Consider the following 20,702-nt stretch of genomic DNA (forward strand, 5'->3'; position numbering starts at 1 on the left):
TTCCACTCCAACCCCATCTACGCTAGCATCCCATTGCTGTCATTTTATGTAAACACATGGCATAGGAAAAGCCAACCTATTTATCATAAGGAAAGACCCCTGCTCTTCAGAAACTTACAATCTACTTGAAGAGTGTTATAGATGGAATGTTTGTGTCCCCCAAAAGGACTGCTGAACCAAAGAATGGCTGCTTGAGCCCACGGCTTCTGGAAGATTCATCAGAGGCAAGAGTGCAGGAATGGGAGACGGGTCCAGATGCTGCCACAGAAGCCCAAAGCATGAGGGAACAAAGACCTGCGTGTGGCTGGGAGCCATTCAGGGCAGAGCTGACTCAGAAGGAAGAGCCCCTAAGACCAGGGAGAAGAAAGTCCAGGAAGAAATAGACCATGGCCTGAAGTAGTAACCAATGCTGTGATTATGAAGTGAGACCCCAAAAACAGGCCTCTGGGAAGTCACTGGGAACCACTGGGAGAGGATAAGGAGGAAGAGATGAGGAAGTGAAGGCTGAGGGGTAGGCCACAGGGAATTCTGAAGTATGATCTAGTTAGAGGAGATCTGTGTGAAAAGAGAGGAAGGTTCTCAGTGATAAAAACAGGAGTGAGACAGGAGAAACTGGGAGGAAGAAGAAGATGAGGAGCTAGCCTCAGACAGGCTAGTGCATCATGAAAATACTATACAACATGACCAAATGGGCTTAATCCCAGGAATGAAGGCTAGTTCAACTTCAAAAAGCAACCAACGTAATTTTCCATATTAATAGACTAAAATTTAAAAACTATATGATCATTTCAACAGTTTCTAAAACATCATTTGGCAAAATGCAACATACATTAATAATTTTTAAACTTACCAACTTAGGAATGGAAGGGAAGTCCCTTAATCTGATCAATAGCATATACACAAACCTACAGCTAAATTATATCAAACTTAATGGTGAAAGACTGAATGCCTTCCTCTAAGACCAGCAGCAAAGCCAGGTTGTTCCCTCTCGTCACTCCTATTCAACATCACACTGGAGGTCCTAGCCTATGCAATCAGACAAGAGAAAGAAACAAAAGACACACAGATTAGAAAGGAAGAAATAAAACTGTCTCTATTTGCAGATGACATGATTGTCTATGTAGAAGAACCTCAAAAAATTTTAAAAACTACCAGAATTAATATGCAAGTTTAGAAAAGTCATAGGATACAAGATCAATATACAAAAAGCAACCTACTTTTATATATGAGTAAATACCAATTGGAAGTAAAATTTTTAAAGGTATAGTTGGCTCTCTGTATCTACAGGTTTTGCATCTGTAGGTTCAACCAACCTTGGATCAAAACCCTCCGATATGGCAACTGTACATATTTTCCATCCATGGCTGGTTGAATCTGTGGATGCAGAACCCACAAATACAGAGGGCCAACTGTACTATGACATTTTATATAAGGGACTTATATAAGCATCTGAGGATTCTGATATCCCCAGGGGGTCCTGGAACCAATGCCCTGTGAATACAGAGGGCTGAGTGCACCATTTAAATAGCACCAGAAACCATGAAATACTTCAGTAGAAATCTAAAAAAAAAAAAACTAACAAAAAATCTAAAATTGGTCTTTATCTAAGACCTATTCACTGAAAGCTATGAAACACTGATGAAAGAAATTTTAAAAGACTTTAATAAATGGAGAGATATACCATGTACAGAAAAACACCACGTTCTGATGTCAATTTTCCCCAAATTGATACACAGATGCAACACAATCACAATCAAAGCAATGAAAATAGCCAAAATAGTTTTGAAAAAGATTGCCAATCAAGTTAGCAGACTCATACTACTCAATTTCAAGACTTACTATAAAGCTACAGTAATTAAAACAATGTGGTACTAGCATAAGGGTAGAAATATAGATATATGGAATAGAATTTAAGAATCTAGAAATAAGCCTTTATATTTTTGACAAGGGTACCAAGACAATTCAGTAGAAGAAGAGCAGTCTTTTCAACAAGTAATCTGGGAAAACTGGATATCTACATGCAAAAGAATGAAGCTGGACTCCTTACCTCATACTATACACAAAAATTCACTCGAAGTGAATCAGAGACCCAAATATGAGAACTATAGATATAAAACCCTTAGAAGAAAACATAGGGATAAATCTTTATAACCTTGGATTAGGCAATAATTTCTTATATATCACACCAAACATATAAATAACAAAAGAAAAAAATAAATTGAACTTCATCAAAATTTTAAAACTTTTTGTGCTTCAAAGGGCACCATCAAGAATGTGAAAATACAACCCACGGAATGGGGAAAATATTTGCAAATCATATTTCACACCTTTAGTTTTGACAAATGTACAAAGGCAATTACATGAAAGGAGTCTTTTAAAAAATCGTGATAGATCTTCACTTGTATGGCAATGAGTAAAAAAAAGTGGTGCTAGAACAATTAAATATTCATATGATAAAAACAAACCTCACAAAATATACAAAATTAACTCACAATGGTTCAGAGGCCTAACTGCAGAACCTATCATACAAATTTTTAAAACAATGAGTACTATCACACACTATTAGAATGGCTGAAGTTAAATTAGATTAAAAATGGAAAGAAAAGAAGAAAGAATGAAATAACAAGTACTGGTGAGAATGCAGAACAACTGAACTCATACTTTCCTGGTCGAAATGAGAAATGGTCCAGCTACTTTGGAAAACAGTTCAGCAATTTCTCATCAAGTTAAATATGCACTTGCCCTATGACCCAGCAACCTCACTCTTAGGTATTTTTTTTTTCAAATGAAATGAAAAGTTATGTTCACACAAAAATCTTTGCATAAATACTCAGCTATAAAAAGAAACAAATCACTGATATGTACAACATGGATGCATCTCAAATATATTATGCTAAAATGAAGGAAGCCAGACTCAAAAGCCTACAGACCATGATTCCATTTAGATGTGGGCAAAACTGTGGGCACTGCACATAGATCAGTGGTTGCCAGGGAGCAGTGGGTAGGGCTGACAACAAAGGGGCAGCACAAGGAAACCTTTTGGGGTGATGGGACTGTCCTGTATCTTGATTGTGTTAGCAATTACACATCTGTATGCATTTGTTACACCTGCAGAACAATGCACTAAAAAAGTGAATTTTACTGTATGTAAATTATACCTTAATTTAAAAAAAAAAAGGGCAGGAGTCATATCCAGGAGACTAAGAGAGAAAATGTAAGCAGATGGCTGGACAGAGAAAGAGTGGCCTTCCCTCTTTCTGAGGCCAGAAAGAGAGGCCAGAGTCTATTTGGAGGCATGACCCCCAAAGCAATTATCAAGTGTCTGCTGCAGCATCTCTGTACTAATCCTCCGGGTCTCTCCTGCTGTAATCTGACTCCTCCTATAGCCAGAAGTCCAATGGCAACAGACAGTGCAAATCCAGGTAAAAAGATGCGTGGTAACCCAATAGCCGTCCAAATGGCTTTGCTAAGCTTAGGGTGCCTTGGTGTTCATCTCTCTTTCACTAAACACAAAACCAGGCAGGCAGAAAGAGGGTGCTGTGGTTTGAGGGTGGGGTCTTGAGCAAGGCTATTGGAAAGGGGGATTTCAGCAAGTTGGACCTGAAAGTGAAAAAGAGATTAATAGCTGCCTTACACACACACACTCACACCATCTGCCAAAAAAGCAGGAATCTGGGCACCAGGTCTTAAAGGGTGCTAAGGTCCCTGTGCAGATGCTCCGCTTATGAATAGTGGGGAGGTATCGGTAAAATCTGATGGAATTCTGCTTACACACAGAGGGAGTCTGAAGTTTAAAAATGATCCCACACCTTGGGGACAAGGAAGGTATGTCCAAATGCTGCCAGGCTCTCTTCTCCACTCAGTGATCAAATAATGAGCCCCTTCTTACACCCCCATAAAGACAGGCAAAGTAAAAGTAAGTATAAACCCTGTCCTTGTGTAAAGGACCTAATTAGTAAATAATAACAGATATCAGTCACTCTTGAGGCTTCACAACAGCAGGTAAACAGGGCCTAATTAAGGGTTTATTGGTTTTCCCTGTGCTGGCCTCACGGGACACATCTAACCACATGGAACACGTGTGTGTGTGTGTGTGTGTGTGTGTGTGTGTGTGTGTGTAGGGAGTTGGTGGTATGGCGGAGCACGTGACATATACCCACAGTACACCAAGTGGAGTGAAAAGGAGACCCAACAATACAGCAGACTGCAGCCCTGGAGTAGCCTCAGCATCTGCTTTAAAACAAGCAGCCGGATGCAGTGGCTCACACCTGGAATCCCAGCACTTTGGGAGGCCAAGGTGGGAATATCACTTGAGTCCAGGAATTCAAGACCAGCCCGGACAACACAGTGATATCCCATATCTACAAAAAATAAAAATAAAACAAATAAAAATTCACCAGGTAGTCCCAGCTACTTGGGAGGCTGAGGCAGGAGGATCACTTGAGCCCAGGAGATAGAGGCTGCAGTGAGCTATGACCATACCACTGCACTCTAGCCTGGGCAACAAAGCGAGACTCTGACTCCAAAACAACAACAACAAAAAGTTTAAAACAAGCCCTGCAGATGGATGGGGTCCGAGTGGACAAGGTCCAGGGGGTCCCAGGACCACACCAGGAGAGACCCCACTAGAGGGGGAATGTTTGGAATTCTATTCTCAGAGTCAAAACCGAGGGGAGATGCCTATGAATATTTAATACTTCTAAAACCCCAGCACTTCTGAAACCCAATCTCTGGCTGCCCGCAGGCTGCAGGTTTGATTTGAGCCAAGAGTGGGAAGTTACAGTGCTCGGTTCGTGCAGTGTCTCCTTGGGAAGACTCAAAGAAACCCCAGCCACTGGCCTCAGGCACTGTGATCGTTTCTGCCTCTCCTCTCTGAGTTTTCAGGGGGCTCCATGGGCCCACTGCAACAGGCTTGCTACTGGATAATCCTGGGAAAGGTGCAAGGCAAAGGGGAATGAGAAATGCATGGTTTTGGAGTAGAAGGAAATGAGTTGGAGACTAGGGTTGGGGAAGACCCCTGCTCAGTTTGCTCTTTTATGCGGTTCCTGTTCCCGGTAAGTCAGCTTGCCCCTTGCAATATGGTTCACAGGTGAATGGTGGTGGCTGTGGTGGGAATCAGAACTTCCCGGGGAGCCAGAGTTAGTGATGGGGGAGGGAGCAGGATGTTCAGTTAAATTTGAATTACAGACAAACAACACGTACATCTTTTAGTATAAGTAGGTTCCAGGCAATATTTGGGACCTACTTATACTAAAATATATATATATATATATATATATATATATATTCATTATTTATCTGAAATTCAAATATAATTGAGTGACCCATATTTTACTGGGCAACCCTACCAGGGGTCCTTTTCAAACCACACCTGCCCTCCCCCAGTCGTGACAACCCTCTCCCCAAGCTCCTGCCCACTCTTCCCTACTCCCTCTTCCAGATCTTCCTCCACCTATGAGGACAGAGTAGAGAGACTGCAGCGTTTTCCGTGTGCATCAGAGTCTGCAATCACCCCAATGAAGTGCAAGCCAAAGAGGTAAGATCTGATTTTCCAAATCCATCCAAAGACCACAAGAGGCTGGACCACCTCAGGGACCCTGGGGGCAGAGAACCAGCTCCCCAAGCTCTGGGCAGTAGAAAAGGAGGAGAGGCTCTCTCCCGCAAAGTGTCCCCTGGCCCCAGCCCTAAAGACAGGCACAACTCCTTCCTGTTCTAGTCCTTTGTCGGTTTACAAACACATAAAACTAACAACGAAATGAGTCCCAAATAAAAGAAGCTGACATCCTGGCAAGACTTCCTTCCTCCTACACTGGATTTCATTTGTCTTACACAGTGGTGGTGGGAAGCTCAGGGAACCTCAGTGGAACCCCATTAAGATATAATATAAAATAATTCAAGGAAGAATAATCTTAAATTATATACTCTTAGAAGGCATGTCGGCATGGCTCCTTGTACACTGCACCATGCTCAATTAGGTGCTTAATGTTTTTTTTTTTTAACTATTACATATTTTTAACTGTTTTTCTAATCATAATGAGTGACACCTCTAAAATTTTTCCTTTCACAAAGAATCAAGATTGCTGTTATGTGTTTCTGGTAATCAAAGCTGCATTATCTCTGCTTGGGGGCTTTTGTGACAAGGTCTTCTTTCAAGGAGGTGGCCAGCTCTATACCACTGGCTCTGGACAAACACCATCAAGCCCATCTCTCTGCTCACTAGGGTCCTGCCCAGACAACATCGCCTTTCTCCTCTCCTTTCCAGCTAGGATCTAGCTGCTCTGGGATTGTCACTCTCCCTTGCTCTGGAACTCCCCATCAAGAGCTTAGGATGCCTCCTGAGGGGCCTCCAGCCTCTGTAAACACCATTCTCTATGCCAGAGATCCTCAAATGAGACCCTTAACATCATGACATCTTCCTACCCAAAAACCTGCCAGGACTCTCCATTACCAGTAAGATAAAGTCCAAACTCCTGTGCTGGCATTAATGCCCTCTAAGTCTTATCATAGACCACATTCCCTGTCTCACACCTACCCCAGCTACTCACTGTGTCTGAAAAAAACCAACCTATAATACGATTCTAAAGTGTAATGTTTATTTAATACAACTTTAATGTTACTAAAATTAGAGCATGAAATATTGACAAATCAACAATTAGCATCTGCTTAATACATTTTAAGGAAAAACAAAATAGACTAGAATGTGAAGAAAGACAAATATCTAGGAATGATTGGGTACAGCAATATATAGTCTGCAAAACACTTTCTCACATGTAGTTCATCTCACCCTCATCAAATCCCTGTAAGATAAGCAAGTTAGGCAGCATCATCCCCCTCTGCCAATGAGGAAACTGAGGCCCGAGGCAGGGGTCCTGCCTTGGATTACACAGAAAGGAAGCTGCAGAACTGGGATCACAGCCATCTCTTTCTGAGCTCACAGCTCATCCTACTCTACTGTACTAAGCTGTTATTTATCCCAACCTAATTTAGATCTAGTTTTGTTTTATTCTATTTAATAAAGAGACACTCAACTTTCTCTCACCCTTGTCCCAGGCGCCCTAGGCCTTCTTCATAGATCCTGGTCACATAAAGTACTGCTGATTAGGGACCTACTCCCAGCCACTGCCAGATTCAATGAATGTCCTCCGGGGGCACACTCTCCAGGGAACTCATGGCTATGGGTGAGAAAGGCCCACCTGTCTCACAAAGCCAAGTCTTACTCTAGTGTAGCTTCCCTTCGTTATTTTTTATGGAGATACAATTCACATACCATAAAATGCACTCCTTTAAAATGCAAAATTCAGTAGCGTTTAGTGTATTCACAAGGCTGTGCAATCTTCACTACCAACCCCAGGACATTTTCAACATCCCCAAAAGAAACCCCATGCCCATTAGTCACTGCCTATTCCCCACCCCACCCTCCCCCAGCTCCTGGCAACCACGAACCTACTTTCCACACCTGTGGATTTGCCTATTCTGGACACTTCATATAAATGGAAGTGAACAATAGGTGGCCTCTGTGTCTGGCTTTTCTCGCTTAGCATATTTTCAAGGTTCGTCCACATGGTAGCACACACAGGCTGAGAATCCTTTATCCGAAATGCTAGGGACCAGAAGTGTTTCATATTTTGGATTTTTTCAGATTCTGGAATACTTGCATATACATAATGAGGTATCTTGGAGATGGTACACAAGTCTAAACATGAAATTCATTTATGTTTCATAAACATCTTCTACATGTAGCCTGAAGGTAATTTTATACAACATTTTAAAATAATTTTGTGCATGAAACAAAGTTTGTGTTAAGTACTTATGTGTGGAATTTTCCACTGTGGCATCATGTCAGAGCTCAAAATGTTTCAGATTTTAGAGCATTTTGGATTTCAAATTTTCAGATTCAGGATGCTCTCTACCTGTATCAGTATTTTGTTCCTTTTACAGCTAAATAATATTCCACAGCACAGATCTACCATATATTGTTTATCCACCATCAGGTATAGACATTTGAATTGTGTCCACCTTTTGGCTATTATGAATAATGTTGCTGTGATGAACATTCATGTACAAGTTTTTACATGGATATATTCTGTTTTCTTGGGGATATATCTAGGAGCAGAATTGCTGGGTCACACGGCAACTCTATGTTATTGAGGAACTGCCCAACTGCTTTCAATCACCTGCACCACCTTACATCCCCGCCAACATTGCATGGGGGTTCCAATGTCTCCACATGCCCTGCCAACACTTATTTTGTTAACTTTTTCATGATAGTCATCCTAGCAGGAGTGAGGATGGTATCTTATTGTGGTTTTAATGCCCTTAAATTTGTAAAGCAAATAGCAACAATTACAAGGGAGAGAATGTCTTCTATAACTTGCACAGCTGTGCCTTTAGAGAGAAGTGGCCACATTGTACATTTTATGTTTTGTTATTTTTAATTACTTATTCCTAGGAAGACCCCACGCTTTGCGCAACCGGAGAGAAATAACAGCTTTCATGTAATAGTGCTTACATGAACAAGACAAACACTGATTGAGTGCCTAGCACTGGGAAACCATGCTGCTGGCCACCTTGCCCTCTAGGACTCCAGATCTGGTGGGGAAGTCAGACAAGGCACGGAAGTGGTTGGGAGGACATAAACTCTGCAGGCTCCACAACCTCTATCCTCTATCCTCAAGTTAATTTCATAAACATTCAGTTCGCAAAGAATATGCCAGAGGAAATACCCTTAATATACAAAGTATTTTGCCAATTAACAATAAATGGGTAGAATTTAACAACAAAAAAAGGCTGGGCACAGTGTCTCATGCCTATAATCCCAGCACTTTGGGAGGCTGAGGTGGGTGGATCATGAGATCAGGAGTTCGAGACCAGCCTGGCCAACATGGTGAAACCCTGTCTCTACTAAAAACACAAAAAATTAGCTGGGCGTGGTGGTGCGCACCTGTAATCCCAGCTACTCGGGAGGCTGAGGCAGGAGAATCACTTGAACCCAGGAGGCAAATGTTGCAGTGAGCCGAGATCACATCATTGCACTCCAGCCCAGGCAACAGAGCAAGATTCCTTCTTGAAAAAAAAAAAAAAAAAAAGGAATTGAAGAACAAAAAAAAAAATGGGTAATGTGGATGAATAAGCTATTCAAAGTAAAAATACAAATGACTTATAAATGTGTGATATCAAAAGATGTTAACCCTTACTAGTAAGCAAAGAAATAACAATAAAAGCAGTATTTTACCTATTTAAATAGCAAAGCTTTCTTTTCATAGTAATAATGTTGGCAAGAATGCAATGGAATAGGCACCCTCCTACATTATCAGTGGGAATGCAAATCGGCATAACCTTTCTGGAAACCAATTTGGCAATATGTATGAAGAGCTTTCCAAATATTCATACCCTCTGACCCAATAAGTTAGTCCCCTCCCAGGAATCTATGCCACAGAAACCTCAGTAGCTTGAACAGGGCTTTATGTCCGAGGATGATTATAAAATTTAACAATTAGGAGCAGCTAAATGTTGAAAAACTAGAGAACAGTTAAATAAATTATGGTGCTGTCACCAGGCGCAGTGGCTCACACCTGTAATCCCATCACTTTGGGAGGCCAAGGAAGGAGGATCACTTGAGGCCAGGAATTTGAGACCAACTTGGGCAACATAGTGAGACCCCATCTCTACAAAGAAATAAAAAATTAGCCGGGCATGGTGGCATGCACCTGTAGTCCCAGCTACTTGGGAGGCTGAGGTGGGAAGATCACTTGAACCTAGGAAGTCAAGGCTGCGGTGAGCCACGATTACACCACTGAACTCCAGCCTGGGTGACAGAGCAAGACTCTGCATTAAGATGAAATAAAATAAAACTTTGGTGCTCAATACCCTGGAATATCTCAAAGCCTTTAAAATGTCTTATTTAAATAACATTCAACATTGTGGGAAATTTTCCAAAATACAATGTCAAGTGGGGGAGAAAAAGAATATGAAATTGCATATAACTCATGATCCCAATTTTTCACATGTATACATTTCAAAATGTTAACAGTGATGGAGTATCTCTAGGTGGTGGGATGATAAGTGCTTTTTTACTTTTTTTCTTTATACCAATGAATACTCTCCAATGTTTCTATTGTACATATTACTCTAAAAAGAAATACTGATAAACTTACATAAAGAAAGAAAAAAGTACATGCTTGTGCTATGAGCACGGCTGGCTGAAGAATCTTCTCTTCTGACAGAAGAGATAAAATGAGAATGAAAATGCCTGTAAAACCAGAGAGAATAAGTCAAATGGGAAAAGAGATTCAAAATAGAAAAAGGAATCATGTCTGGGCAGTGGGGACTAGGACCCTTCCTGGAGAAGTGTCTGCAGATGGGCAGGACCTGGCCAGCGGGAATCCCAGTGGAGGGGCATACAGATGATGCAAACAGCATCAATATGGATGGGGCAGAGGAAGAAGAGTCCAGGGCTACACTGGGAACACCAGGTACTCACTGCTGACCAGAAGCAAGGAGAGGACTGGCCAGAGATGAGACAAGGGGGTTCATGGCCAGATCATGAAAGAATTTTTTCTATGGCAGAGTAAGGAGCCAGCACATAATCTAGGAGGCATTAAAACCTCTTGATGGCCGCATTTACAAAAATAAAAAGTATATTCATTGCCCAAATTATAAAATGTACATTCATTACGGAACACTTCGAAATCATAGAAAAGGAAAAAAAAATCAATTATCACCCAAAGACAACCAGTATTAACGTTTCCATTTATTTCTTTTACTTCCTTTTTAAAAAAATCTACTTACGGCTTTTTGTTTTTGCTTTCATAAAACTGTGCTCTTACTGTTTGCATAATTTGGTATCCTGTGTTTTTCACTTTTTTTTTTTTTTTTGAGACGGAGTCTTGCTCTGTTGCCCAGGCTGGAATGCAGTGGCGAGATCTCGGCTCACTGCAAACTCTGCCTCCTGGGTTCAAGTAATTCTCCTGTGTCAGCCTCCCGAGTAGCTGGGATTACAGGCGCCCACCACCATGCCTAGCTAATTTTTGTATTTTTAGTAGAGACGAGGTTTGTATATTTAGTAGAGATAGGGTTTCACCATGCTGGCCAGGAGGTCTTGAACTCCTGACCTCAGGTGATCCACTCACCTTGGCCTCCCAAAATGCTGGGATTACAGGCGTAAGCCACCGCGCCCAGCCTTCATTTAATATTGTAACGTAAGCATGTTCCCCTGTTATTACAACTTCTAATGCTGCCAGCTTTCAAAAGGGAAATGTGATCACAGCAGAACTTTGGGTAGATTAAATTGACAGCTGGAAAGGAGGCAGTGAAGAGGAAGATGCTAGAAGTAGAGAGACTAAAAGAGGGCTGTGGAAATAGCACAGACGAGAAGCACCAAGGGCCTGGGAGAGGCTGGAGCTCTATGAAGGGAAAGCAGAGTGGCCCCCAAGCAAGGCATCTGCAAGGAGTATTTGAGCCTGGGTGATGTATCTATGGGAAGAAGAGAGCTTCGGTTCCTAATCCACTTAGGGGAAGTCCGGGAGGAGCTGGCTTTGGAGTGAGTGGGTTATGAGTAATAAAGTGTCACAAAAGCTAAATGCAAGAGTAGGAAAGTCAACAGAATCAGGTGTTGTGGAAGAGGCTGAAAAGAGATGGATAAGCAGACTGGGTAGAGGAGGAGTTGAGCTGTAAGGGGGTTAAGTCATGAGGTCATGAGGGGACGGTGAATGAAGGTGACTCTGGATGTTTGGCAGTGAAGGGACAGCGAGTGGGTCACAGCTTGAATGAATACAGCATGGAGGTTAGGAAACTTGATTTATCCAGAGGCAGAGGGAGGGGAGGGGCCAAAGAGGTAAATGAGGACAGCACCGTACTTCCCTGCAGAACTGAGCTGTCCACCAGGGGAGCCACTAGCCACACATGGCTAGGAACATTTGCAGTGTGGCTGGTCTGAAGTGAGGGGTGTTGTAAATACAAAACGCACTGGAGTCTGAAATTATTTTTTATTCATTACATGATAAAATGATATTCTGGATATATTGGGTAAATAAAATATATTATTTAAATTACTTTCACCCATGGGTTAGTTTGTTTTCTTTGTTTTTACTTTTTGGCCCACTGGAATAGCTGGAAGGATATATGTGACTCTCAATATATTTCTGTTGGACAGCACTGCTGTTGTACAAAGGGGAGGCAGGACAGGAGGGACCTGGAGCATAGTGGATGAGGGACAGATCCCAGGTTACTTGCAGAATATCAAACTGCTGAGCCATTGGTGGCCCACCTTAGGCCCACAGAGTGATCTGCCTCCTTACTTCCCCCTGAGGGGGTCATTCCCAAAGGCTCAGATTCATCTGCCAAGCTCAGGGCCGATTTCAGATGGTACACCCAGCACAGCCACTCTCTGTGGCTTTCAGAAACATGAGATGTGGTGACAGAAAAGGGAAGGGGGGCTGGAGGTGAGGCCCAAGGGATATGGAGGTATATGACAGGGGCTCAGGTATGACGACTGAGGTATCTAGGACAGTCTAGAGAAGGGTATCAGACTGAAAATTCACTTATCTTACACACCACGAAACTTGGGGCTTGGGGAGAATATACGAATTTAAAACCATGGGGAGGAGGGCATCCTCAAGAGCAATGAATGAACATCTAGAGGCAGCACAGTGTGGAGAAAGGCCTGGGAACTTAGGTGTGAGTTCTCAGCCTGGATCTGCAAACAACAAACATGTGGCTCTGGGCAAGTCACCTTTCCTGTGGGAACTTCAGCTTCCTCATCCATAAAAGTGAGAGGCAGTGGGTGATGGCCAAGGTCTTTGCCACCTGGGACAGTCCATGGAGTGGCCACAGCCTGGGCCTCTGGCTGCTCAAGCAGGGACAATTTGCATTCCTCTCTAAATGGAGATGCTACTTAGAAAGACTTTCAGAGAAATCCCTGATTTCAAATCTTCTGCCTTCCATTCTCCTGCAATGCAACGGAATGCTCAGCATTGCAGCATATAAGCTACAGCTTTAAGAAGGCCTGTCATACCTGGAAGTCGTACAAAAGTCCCCCATCCAACCGTGCTAGATCCATGGGGAATCCCAGAGGAAGCCGGAGTCCTTCAGAATCTATGCCAGGCACCGGCCCCCACCTCATCCCCGGACCAGGCGTGGGAATCACACATACAAAGCAGCAGAGAAAGGCAGACACATTCCCATACAAACCAAGGACATGAGTTGGGGCAGGAGGACAAAGAGAGGCTGGCATGGCGGGAGTACCTTGCAAAGGTTTTCCAGGGAAGCTGATGATGCTTCACCCACCCACAAACTGCTTCTCCTGCAGTTCTCTGACCTCTGGGATAAGGAGACGTTTGCTTTGAGGCCTGGCAAGAGGTTTTGTGGGCTAGAAATTTATTTATCCTCCAAGTGCAATCAAGTTGCTCTCTTCCAAAAATCTCATCTTGGAGAATAATTATCCCCACTCCCCCAAGCTCTCCCACCCTCAGCTTCCTCCTCCTCTCCCGGAATATCAGGCAAACCTTCATTGTTTCCTGTGAGTAGTGGTGACAGCTGAGGGTGGTGCCAGCCGTGTAGGTGGAGGGAGGGGGCTGACGAAAGGCTGGAGTCAGATTCAGGGGCGGGAAGAAGGAGCCCACCTGAACTCGGAGTTCTGGTTCCCACCCTACACAGGTGAAGTGCAGCTTCCCTCGTGCCTTCCCCCATCCCCTAGCCTGATCCACTCATGCCCACATCTCCTCCCTCTTTCCATTCCTCACCTCTGGGGCTCATTTTAGGTCAGCAGAATCCAGAAGAAAAAAAAAAACACCAAAGAGAAAATGAAACTGCCACCAAGTGCTTACCTTACCTCCAACTGAGTGCGGAACCTAGATGGGGCCATGTCTTCCGTGGGACAGGCCTGGGCCCTACCCAGCACTACACAGGCTGCCCTGTGGGGATGGAGGGGACCATGGGCACCTCAGCAGGGATCCAGGGGCCCCAGAGATTGCCTGGGGGAGAGAGGCAGGAAGATTCAGTGAGAGGAGTGCTATGCTGGGAGTCAGGAGCCCCAGGGGCCAGTCTTGTGACTCGGAGCCAGTCATGCAACCTACAGGAATCTGAATGCGCTCATCTCTATAATGGAGCTAATGACGCCTGCGAATAAGACACCAATGCTAACACGGTACAGGTGTAAACCAACACAGGCTGGGACTAACAATGCCATTAGAGATCTGGAGGGCTGAGAAGTAGATGGGAGGGCTGAGAAGTAGATGGGAGGCCAGGCATGGTGGCTCACGCCTGTAATCCCAGCACTTTGGGAGGCCAAGACGGGTGGGTCACTTGAGGTCAGGAGTTTGAGACCAGCCTGGCCAACATGGCGAAACGCTGTCTCTACTCAAAATACAAAAAATTAGCTGGGCATGGCGGTGCGCACCTGTAATCCCAGCTACTTGGGAGGCTAAGCCAGGAGAATTGCTTGAACCCAGGAGGCTGAACTTGCAGTGAGCCAAGATGGCACCACTGCACTCCAGGCTGGGCGACAGATCGAGACTGTCTCAAAAAAAATTAGCTGGACATGATGGCACATGCCTGTAGTTCCAGCTACTCGAGAGTCTGAGGTGGGAGGATTGCTTGAACCCATAAGGCAGAGGTTGCAGTGAGTTTAGATGGTGCCACTGCACTCCAGCGTGGGTGACAGAGCAAGACTGTGTCTCCAAAAAAAAAAAAAAAGGTACATAGGAGCCAGGCCTCCTCTGCTCACTGTTGTGTCCCTATTATCCAGGACAGAGGCTAACACATAGCAGGCCACAATAAATTCTTGTTAAATGAATACATGGATGAAAAGAAAATTGAAGGCTGCAGGGTACCTTTAAGGCCTTGAATATTCCAACTCACAAGAGAAGACAGTCCCAGACCCCCAGTTGCCTCTGATGGTGAGCATCAAACACAAGGTGGGAGATGGGCTACAGGGTCTCTGCTATGGTTTTGAATGTACCCCGAAATTTAATGTGTTGGGAACTTAATCCTCAAATTCACAGGTCAATTGGAGGTGGGGCCTCTGGAAAGTAATAAGGATTAAAGTCATCAGGGTGGGGCCCCCATGATGAAACTGGTGGCTTTATAAGAAGAGGAGAAGAGACCTGAGCTAACGTGCACACATATGCTCTGTTTCGCCATGTGATGCCACCCACCACATCATGATGAACAAGAAGGCCCTCGCTAGGTGCTGTCACCATGCTCTTGGACTTCCCAGTCTGCAGAACCATGAGCTAAATAAACCTCTATTCTTTATAAGTTACCCAGCCTGTGGTGTTCAGTTACAGCAACAGAAAATGAACTAAGACAATCCTTACCTGCAGGAATGCCCAGGCCCACATCAGAATTAAATGAAAGATGAGTGTGGTACTAACTGCCATGGCCACTAAGCATTTGGAGATGGTTTCTATCAGGGAGATGAGACATGAAACAAGTCTGTGTGTCCCTGTGAGTGTCTGGGAACTGGGAGAGCTGGCCTGAAGTATTGGAGAGTCCCTTATTTGCTGGCTGACCTTGAGCATATCACTAGGAAATCCCCAGAAGAGATTGAGTCTATAGGAGAAATGAGCTAATGTGCAAACGAGTCTCTTGGAAAGGCCTGGTGAACAGCAAGAGGCCTGGATTGCTGCAGTGCAGCCCTTCTCCTCACAGGCTGGGCCAGCTCAACAAACTCCTCTGCTCTCTGGGTCCTATGAGGTTTCTTTCTATGTAAAATGGGAGAATGTGACCAAACAGCTCTCAGCTGCTTCCCAAGAGCACTGACATCCTGAGGACTCTGGGGAGTCTTATCTGTGATGTGATTCAGTCTCCCAGAAAGAAACCAGGAGATTCTGCCCTGGTCTCCACTCTCTCCTGGCTGTGCTGCTAACAAGGGGGTAGGAAGGGTGACCAGAATTGGCACCACGGCCACGGGAAGCACTGACTGCCTTAATTCTTGGGGCATGAGGAGTAACAGTGTTAAGTCTTCTCTCCCAGGGCCAATGGAGGCATGACCTAATGCCAAAGGGTGAGCCATGAAACTCAACCATTATGATAGAAGACTATAAAAACAGCCAGTGGGAGGAGTGGCAAATGTTCATTTGCAGACTCACCTGCCCTGCATACTCTCTAGGCCCCTGGAAATATATTCTCAGTTTGAAGTCCAAGTGATGGACTATAGATTATCACACCACCGCCCCCTTTAGAATAATTAAGATTAACCGTTTTATTTAAAAATAATAATTTTTAAAAGGCTGTGGCAGAGACTGTAAGTTGTCCAACTAAATTCCTTGCCCTGTTCTTCCCAGGCAATACACAGTCACTGGGCACATGGCTGCCCAGCCACAGACAGCATTTCTCAGCCCCTCTTGCAGCAAGGTGTGGTCATGACTATGCCAGTGGGGTATGAATGGAAGTGCTACATGCAGCTCCCATGTCACCTCCCATCCCATTATCAAACACGTTCTTCTGGGCTACAACATAGATAGGCTCCAAACCCAGCTTTGACCATATGAATGAGGATAATGTCCTTAGAAGTGGTGGAGCAACCCCATGGAACTGAATCATCCTACCAACCTGGACCCCATCACTTTGAGACTATGACACAAGAGAAATAAATTCCCATCTTCTTAAGGCCACTGTATTTTGGTATCTCTTTGTTACGGCAGCTTAGCCTTGACCCCAATACACCTGCAAACAGCAGAGGTTTCTAGGTCTGAGTATCAAGATGGCAAGCCCCTATCCCATCCCTCCCTCCCCTTTGCCCTCTCCGTTCCTCCCCCACTTCCTCCTCCTCCCTTCCCACCACGTGCTCTGGGGCAGAAGGGAGAAATCACAACACACAGGGCACACAAAGCCAAGGGAAGGCAGGATGAGGCTGGAGGTGTGAAAACACTAAGGCCACTCCAAGAATGGTTGAAGGCATCTGAGCAGTGCTCCTGACAAGACCTGGGACTAAGCCCAGAAACCAGAGCAGAGACAAAGCAGACAGAGGGGCTGATTCTCAAGACGGAAGGAAGCACAGTGGCCAGACTCTGCACGGTAACAAACAGCGGCCCAGAGGAAAGAAGGAGTGAGCTCTGCAGTATCTCAAGAAGACGAAGCATGCTGTGGGGAAAACGTGGGATCTGGTTAGGACCTGGTATCAAAGCTCCAAGTTCACATCCTTTTTCCCCTGTGTGGTGGTGACTGAGTAACTTAACCTTAGTAAACCTCAGAATCTTCTCCTACAAAATAGGGATGATACTATCTACTTCTCAAGGACTGTGTAAAGATTAAGATGATGGACTAAATAAGGTGATAATATAAAATGTCAGGAAAGCAATTATTCTTCCACTGCCTATCTAGGTTTAGTAAAAGCAAGAAACTGAGAGCTCCAACCAGTCGATCGCAGTCCCCTGAGGAGAGTGGAGAAGATAAGAACATCGGCAATTTGTCAACTGTCTTGAAGCACCAGGCACAGGCCTGGGTGCTTTACCAGAGTACTGTCTCCCAGGGGAAGTGGCACGCGGCCGGACCCAAGCCGGGTTCTGGTCCTGAGCCTCGGGGCATTGCACATGGCAGCCGGTATCTCTCAGCCAGGCCTGGAGGATGGGGCAAGAGCTGGGGATGAGGCTGCCACTTCTGCACCCATTGTGGGCAATGCCTCAGGGCACTCCCCATCAGCAGCGAAGGCCAGGCCAGGTGTGGGTAGCATGGGATCTGAAGCTCAGTTTCCTGCCTGATTGTCCCCCACCCCCACCCCTGCATATCTACACAGTGAAGGGCAGAAAAGCAAAAGGTGCCCCAGGGCCTCCCCTCAGGGATAGCTGGGCCCTGGGCTGCTCCTAAGCCAGATTTGGGGCAGGGGAGAGGGGAGTGAGGGGATTTGAAGAAGGTGGGCAGGCGAAGTCCCTGGGGTCTGCAGTGAGCACAGAGGAGGGCTTGGGGGCTTGGGGCCCTGCCCCACCTTCTGCTGGGCCATTATGCAGAACCTTTGCCTCTTAGCCCCTTGTTCATTCAGCTGGTGTTCCTCTGCACTTGCTGACACTGCACTTACTGCTGGACTTGTCCAGGAGCCCTGGTTGTCTCCTGAAAGGTGAGCCTCCATGCTGGCCCAACACTTCTCTCACCTCAATTTGCCCCATGTTCTCTGCTCGAGGGCCCTAAACATTGATGCTCGTAATCCTAGCTGCCAAAGGACAGGCATCCATCAACCCCCAGCCCCAGGGACCCCCTCACCTCTCTCCCAGGACTCAGAAGCAGCCCACACTGCTCTGACCCCCAACACATAAGCAGAGAATGACATTCCCCAGGATGCAGGAAGATCCAGGGAAACATCACAATGCCCAACTGGGCAGGCTATCAGCCCACGCATGGCACCCACATCCTGAGGGCACCCAGGCAAGGAGATAGGAGAGTGTCCCTTTTCCTCCCTATTTGGAGGAAGCAGCACCCCTTCCCAGAGGGAAAAAGCCCCGAGTCCTCAGAAAGGCAGACTGGAGTGGAATTTAAGCCCACGACACCAGATGCTATTCCTGGCCACATGCCTAAGATGACAGAGCAAGAGTACCTCAAGAGAAACACACATGCCTGCCTCCCACCCCTAAAACCACTGGGTGCCTGTGCCCCACACCAGCAACAAGGGCAGGTAAGCCCATCTGGGCAAGAGGCTGGCAACAGGATCATTCCTGAAAGTCAGCTGTCAGTCAAAGTCTGCACCAAGGAAGCTGCTATGAGAAGAAACCCTGGGTGTGTCCTTTGTACTCTGCTATCCTAAGCAAATGACCACTCCGTTAAAAAATCAGCATTGGCAAGTCTGAACGTGTGTCAACTGGTTTTTAAAATTTTTTAAAAGAAGGCCACAGCTACAGCAGAAAGTAGAGCCAACAAAGCCACCTTTGAACCCAGACAAGCTGAACCCTGACAAGCAGAGGAAAAGGCAGGGATACTGCGAGAGGTGGCAATGCAACACTCAACCACCTGTTCTCTCCTGCCCGGTTAAGGTTCTCATTCACTCTAGGAATTATCCACAGCAAACCATTCCTCCAAAGCCAGCTAGGCTGGGGCCAAGTCTCATGGAGCTGCCAGTACCTCCACAGCACCTAGCATGCAGCAGGTATTCAATAAATGTTCGAGTAGGAACAGGGGCACACAAATCAAGTAATGACTGGTGTGTCCCAATCACAGCCATTTCCAGGCAGCTGGTATGTACATGAGGAATACAGACTGATCTGACTTCAGCATGAGCCAAAAATAATGAAGAGAGGAAGTCTGCTATAAATCATCTAGCGCATTTAGAAGTCCTCTGTCGCTGGGCATTATCCATGCCATTGGCTTTCCTGCTTAATGCAGCAAACTGGATTGATACCAGAGGGATGGAGAACTCTTCTTGGAGTCTCCAAGTCTCAGCTGGGCTGCCCCAAGAGCCAAAACAGAACTGGAAGGATGAAGGCCACGGAAGGGACAGATTCTCACGCCCCCATCCATAGGGTCTCACAGAAACGACTCCTTGCCCTGAAGGACGCTGGGGAGTTAGGACAGAGGTCCTTGACAAAGGAGTGAGTCAGGTCCCTGTTGTGAGCACCCCAAGTGCTAGCACAAGTCACTTAAGCTAAATTGCTCTTGTCAAAACAAGCCCTCTGCCAGCACTCACGAGGCTGGGCCCGGCTTTCATCACCGACACTTGCTGAGCTGTGGAATTTAGCCAACAGGCCAGAAGCATCACGCCCCCCCCCCCCCGACCCCCCCGCAGGTAGCAGAGGATCAGGACTGGCGAAGCATAGGCTCTGGGCTGGAGCTTTACTCCCATTTCTACCACAGGGTGATTTGGCAACCTTGGGAAACATCTCTTTACCTTTTGGTTCCTATAAAATCAGGATAGGGCTTCCGCATATTCGATGGAGAAGTTTCTAGTGATCATATGGTCAACTCCCAAATCTCCATATTAAGGGAGGCAACAGTACATGGGCAGCACCATGGGACATAAGCACTCATGGTTAAGGTAGAAAACACAGGAGAAACCACACAAGTGGATGCTGAAGAATGACATGGCTAAGTTCAGATTGCAAATGCCTCTGTCGGCCAAAGAGGTCAAGACAGGCATCAGGGAGGGGGTAAGGTTTGGGCTGGGAGCTGAGTAGGGTTGGGGTGTGGAGGGGAAACTTTTGAATGAAAACAACAGTCCTCAAAAAATCACAGCACAGGTGGGGCAGTGAAGAGGCCACCATAGCAGGATCAGAGAGCGACAGATGATGAAGCTGCATCAGTCAAATGGCCCAGATGGTGAACCACTGTCTGCCAGGATGGGAAGCTTGGCTTGGTCCCACAAGCAATAAGGAGCCACTACAAGCTGGTAATGGGGGTTGTTTCATGATATTTAATAACAGCTACTGTCTACCAGATGCTTACAGTGTGCAGGTATAGCCTCATCTAATCCTCGGGACAACACTATGGGCTGGGTGTAATTAGAATTCTCATTTTACAGACAAAAAGAAAGTGAGGCACAGTGAAGTTAAGCAACTCGCTCCAGGCCACACAGCTAGGAAGTAGTGGCACTGGAACTTGAACCAGGGCCAACTGACTCTGAAACCCATGGTCTTAATCACTGTGCTACACTGGCTCCACCCCAGAAGGAAGAACTATTTGTCTTCTTTGGCAAAAGGGGGGCAGCAGCATCTGTCTGGAGGCTGGGTCTGCAGACTAGGAATGCTGCTGCACTCAAGAGACGGGGCTGGGGCTGGGAGGGA

General features: G+C 45.6%; 1 protein-coding gene across 17 annotated transcripts in view; it reads right to left on the reverse strand.

The window, feature by feature from the left end:
- The window catches only part of ADCY5 (adenylate cyclase 5), a 166,795-nt gene that overhangs the window by 71,781 nt on the left and 74,312 nt on the right, over positions 1-20,702 (reverse strand). For 2 of the 17 annotated variants that reach the window (XM_047447362.1, XM_006713483.2), the window contains exon 1: positions 13,829-13,984. The exons of 12 other annotated variants lie outside the window; for them this stretch is intronic. In XM_047447362.1, coding sequence (XP_047303318.1) covers positions 13,829-13,861 — 33 coding nt within the window. In that variant the 5' untranslated portion in view covers positions 13,862-13,984. Of the gene's footprint in view, positions 1-850; positions 1,068-13,823; positions 13,985-20,702 lie in introns of those variants that run through there. 3 more of the 17 variants (XM_047447363.1, XM_011512360.3, XM_047447360.1) reach the window with 3 other exon arrangements.

Source organism: Homo sapiens, chromosome 3 (assembly GCF_000001405.40).
Source record: "Homo sapiens chromosome 3, GRCh38.p14 Primary Assembly".
Taxonomy (NCBI): Eukaryota; Metazoa; Chordata; class Mammalia; order Primates; family Hominidae; genus Homo; species Homo sapiens.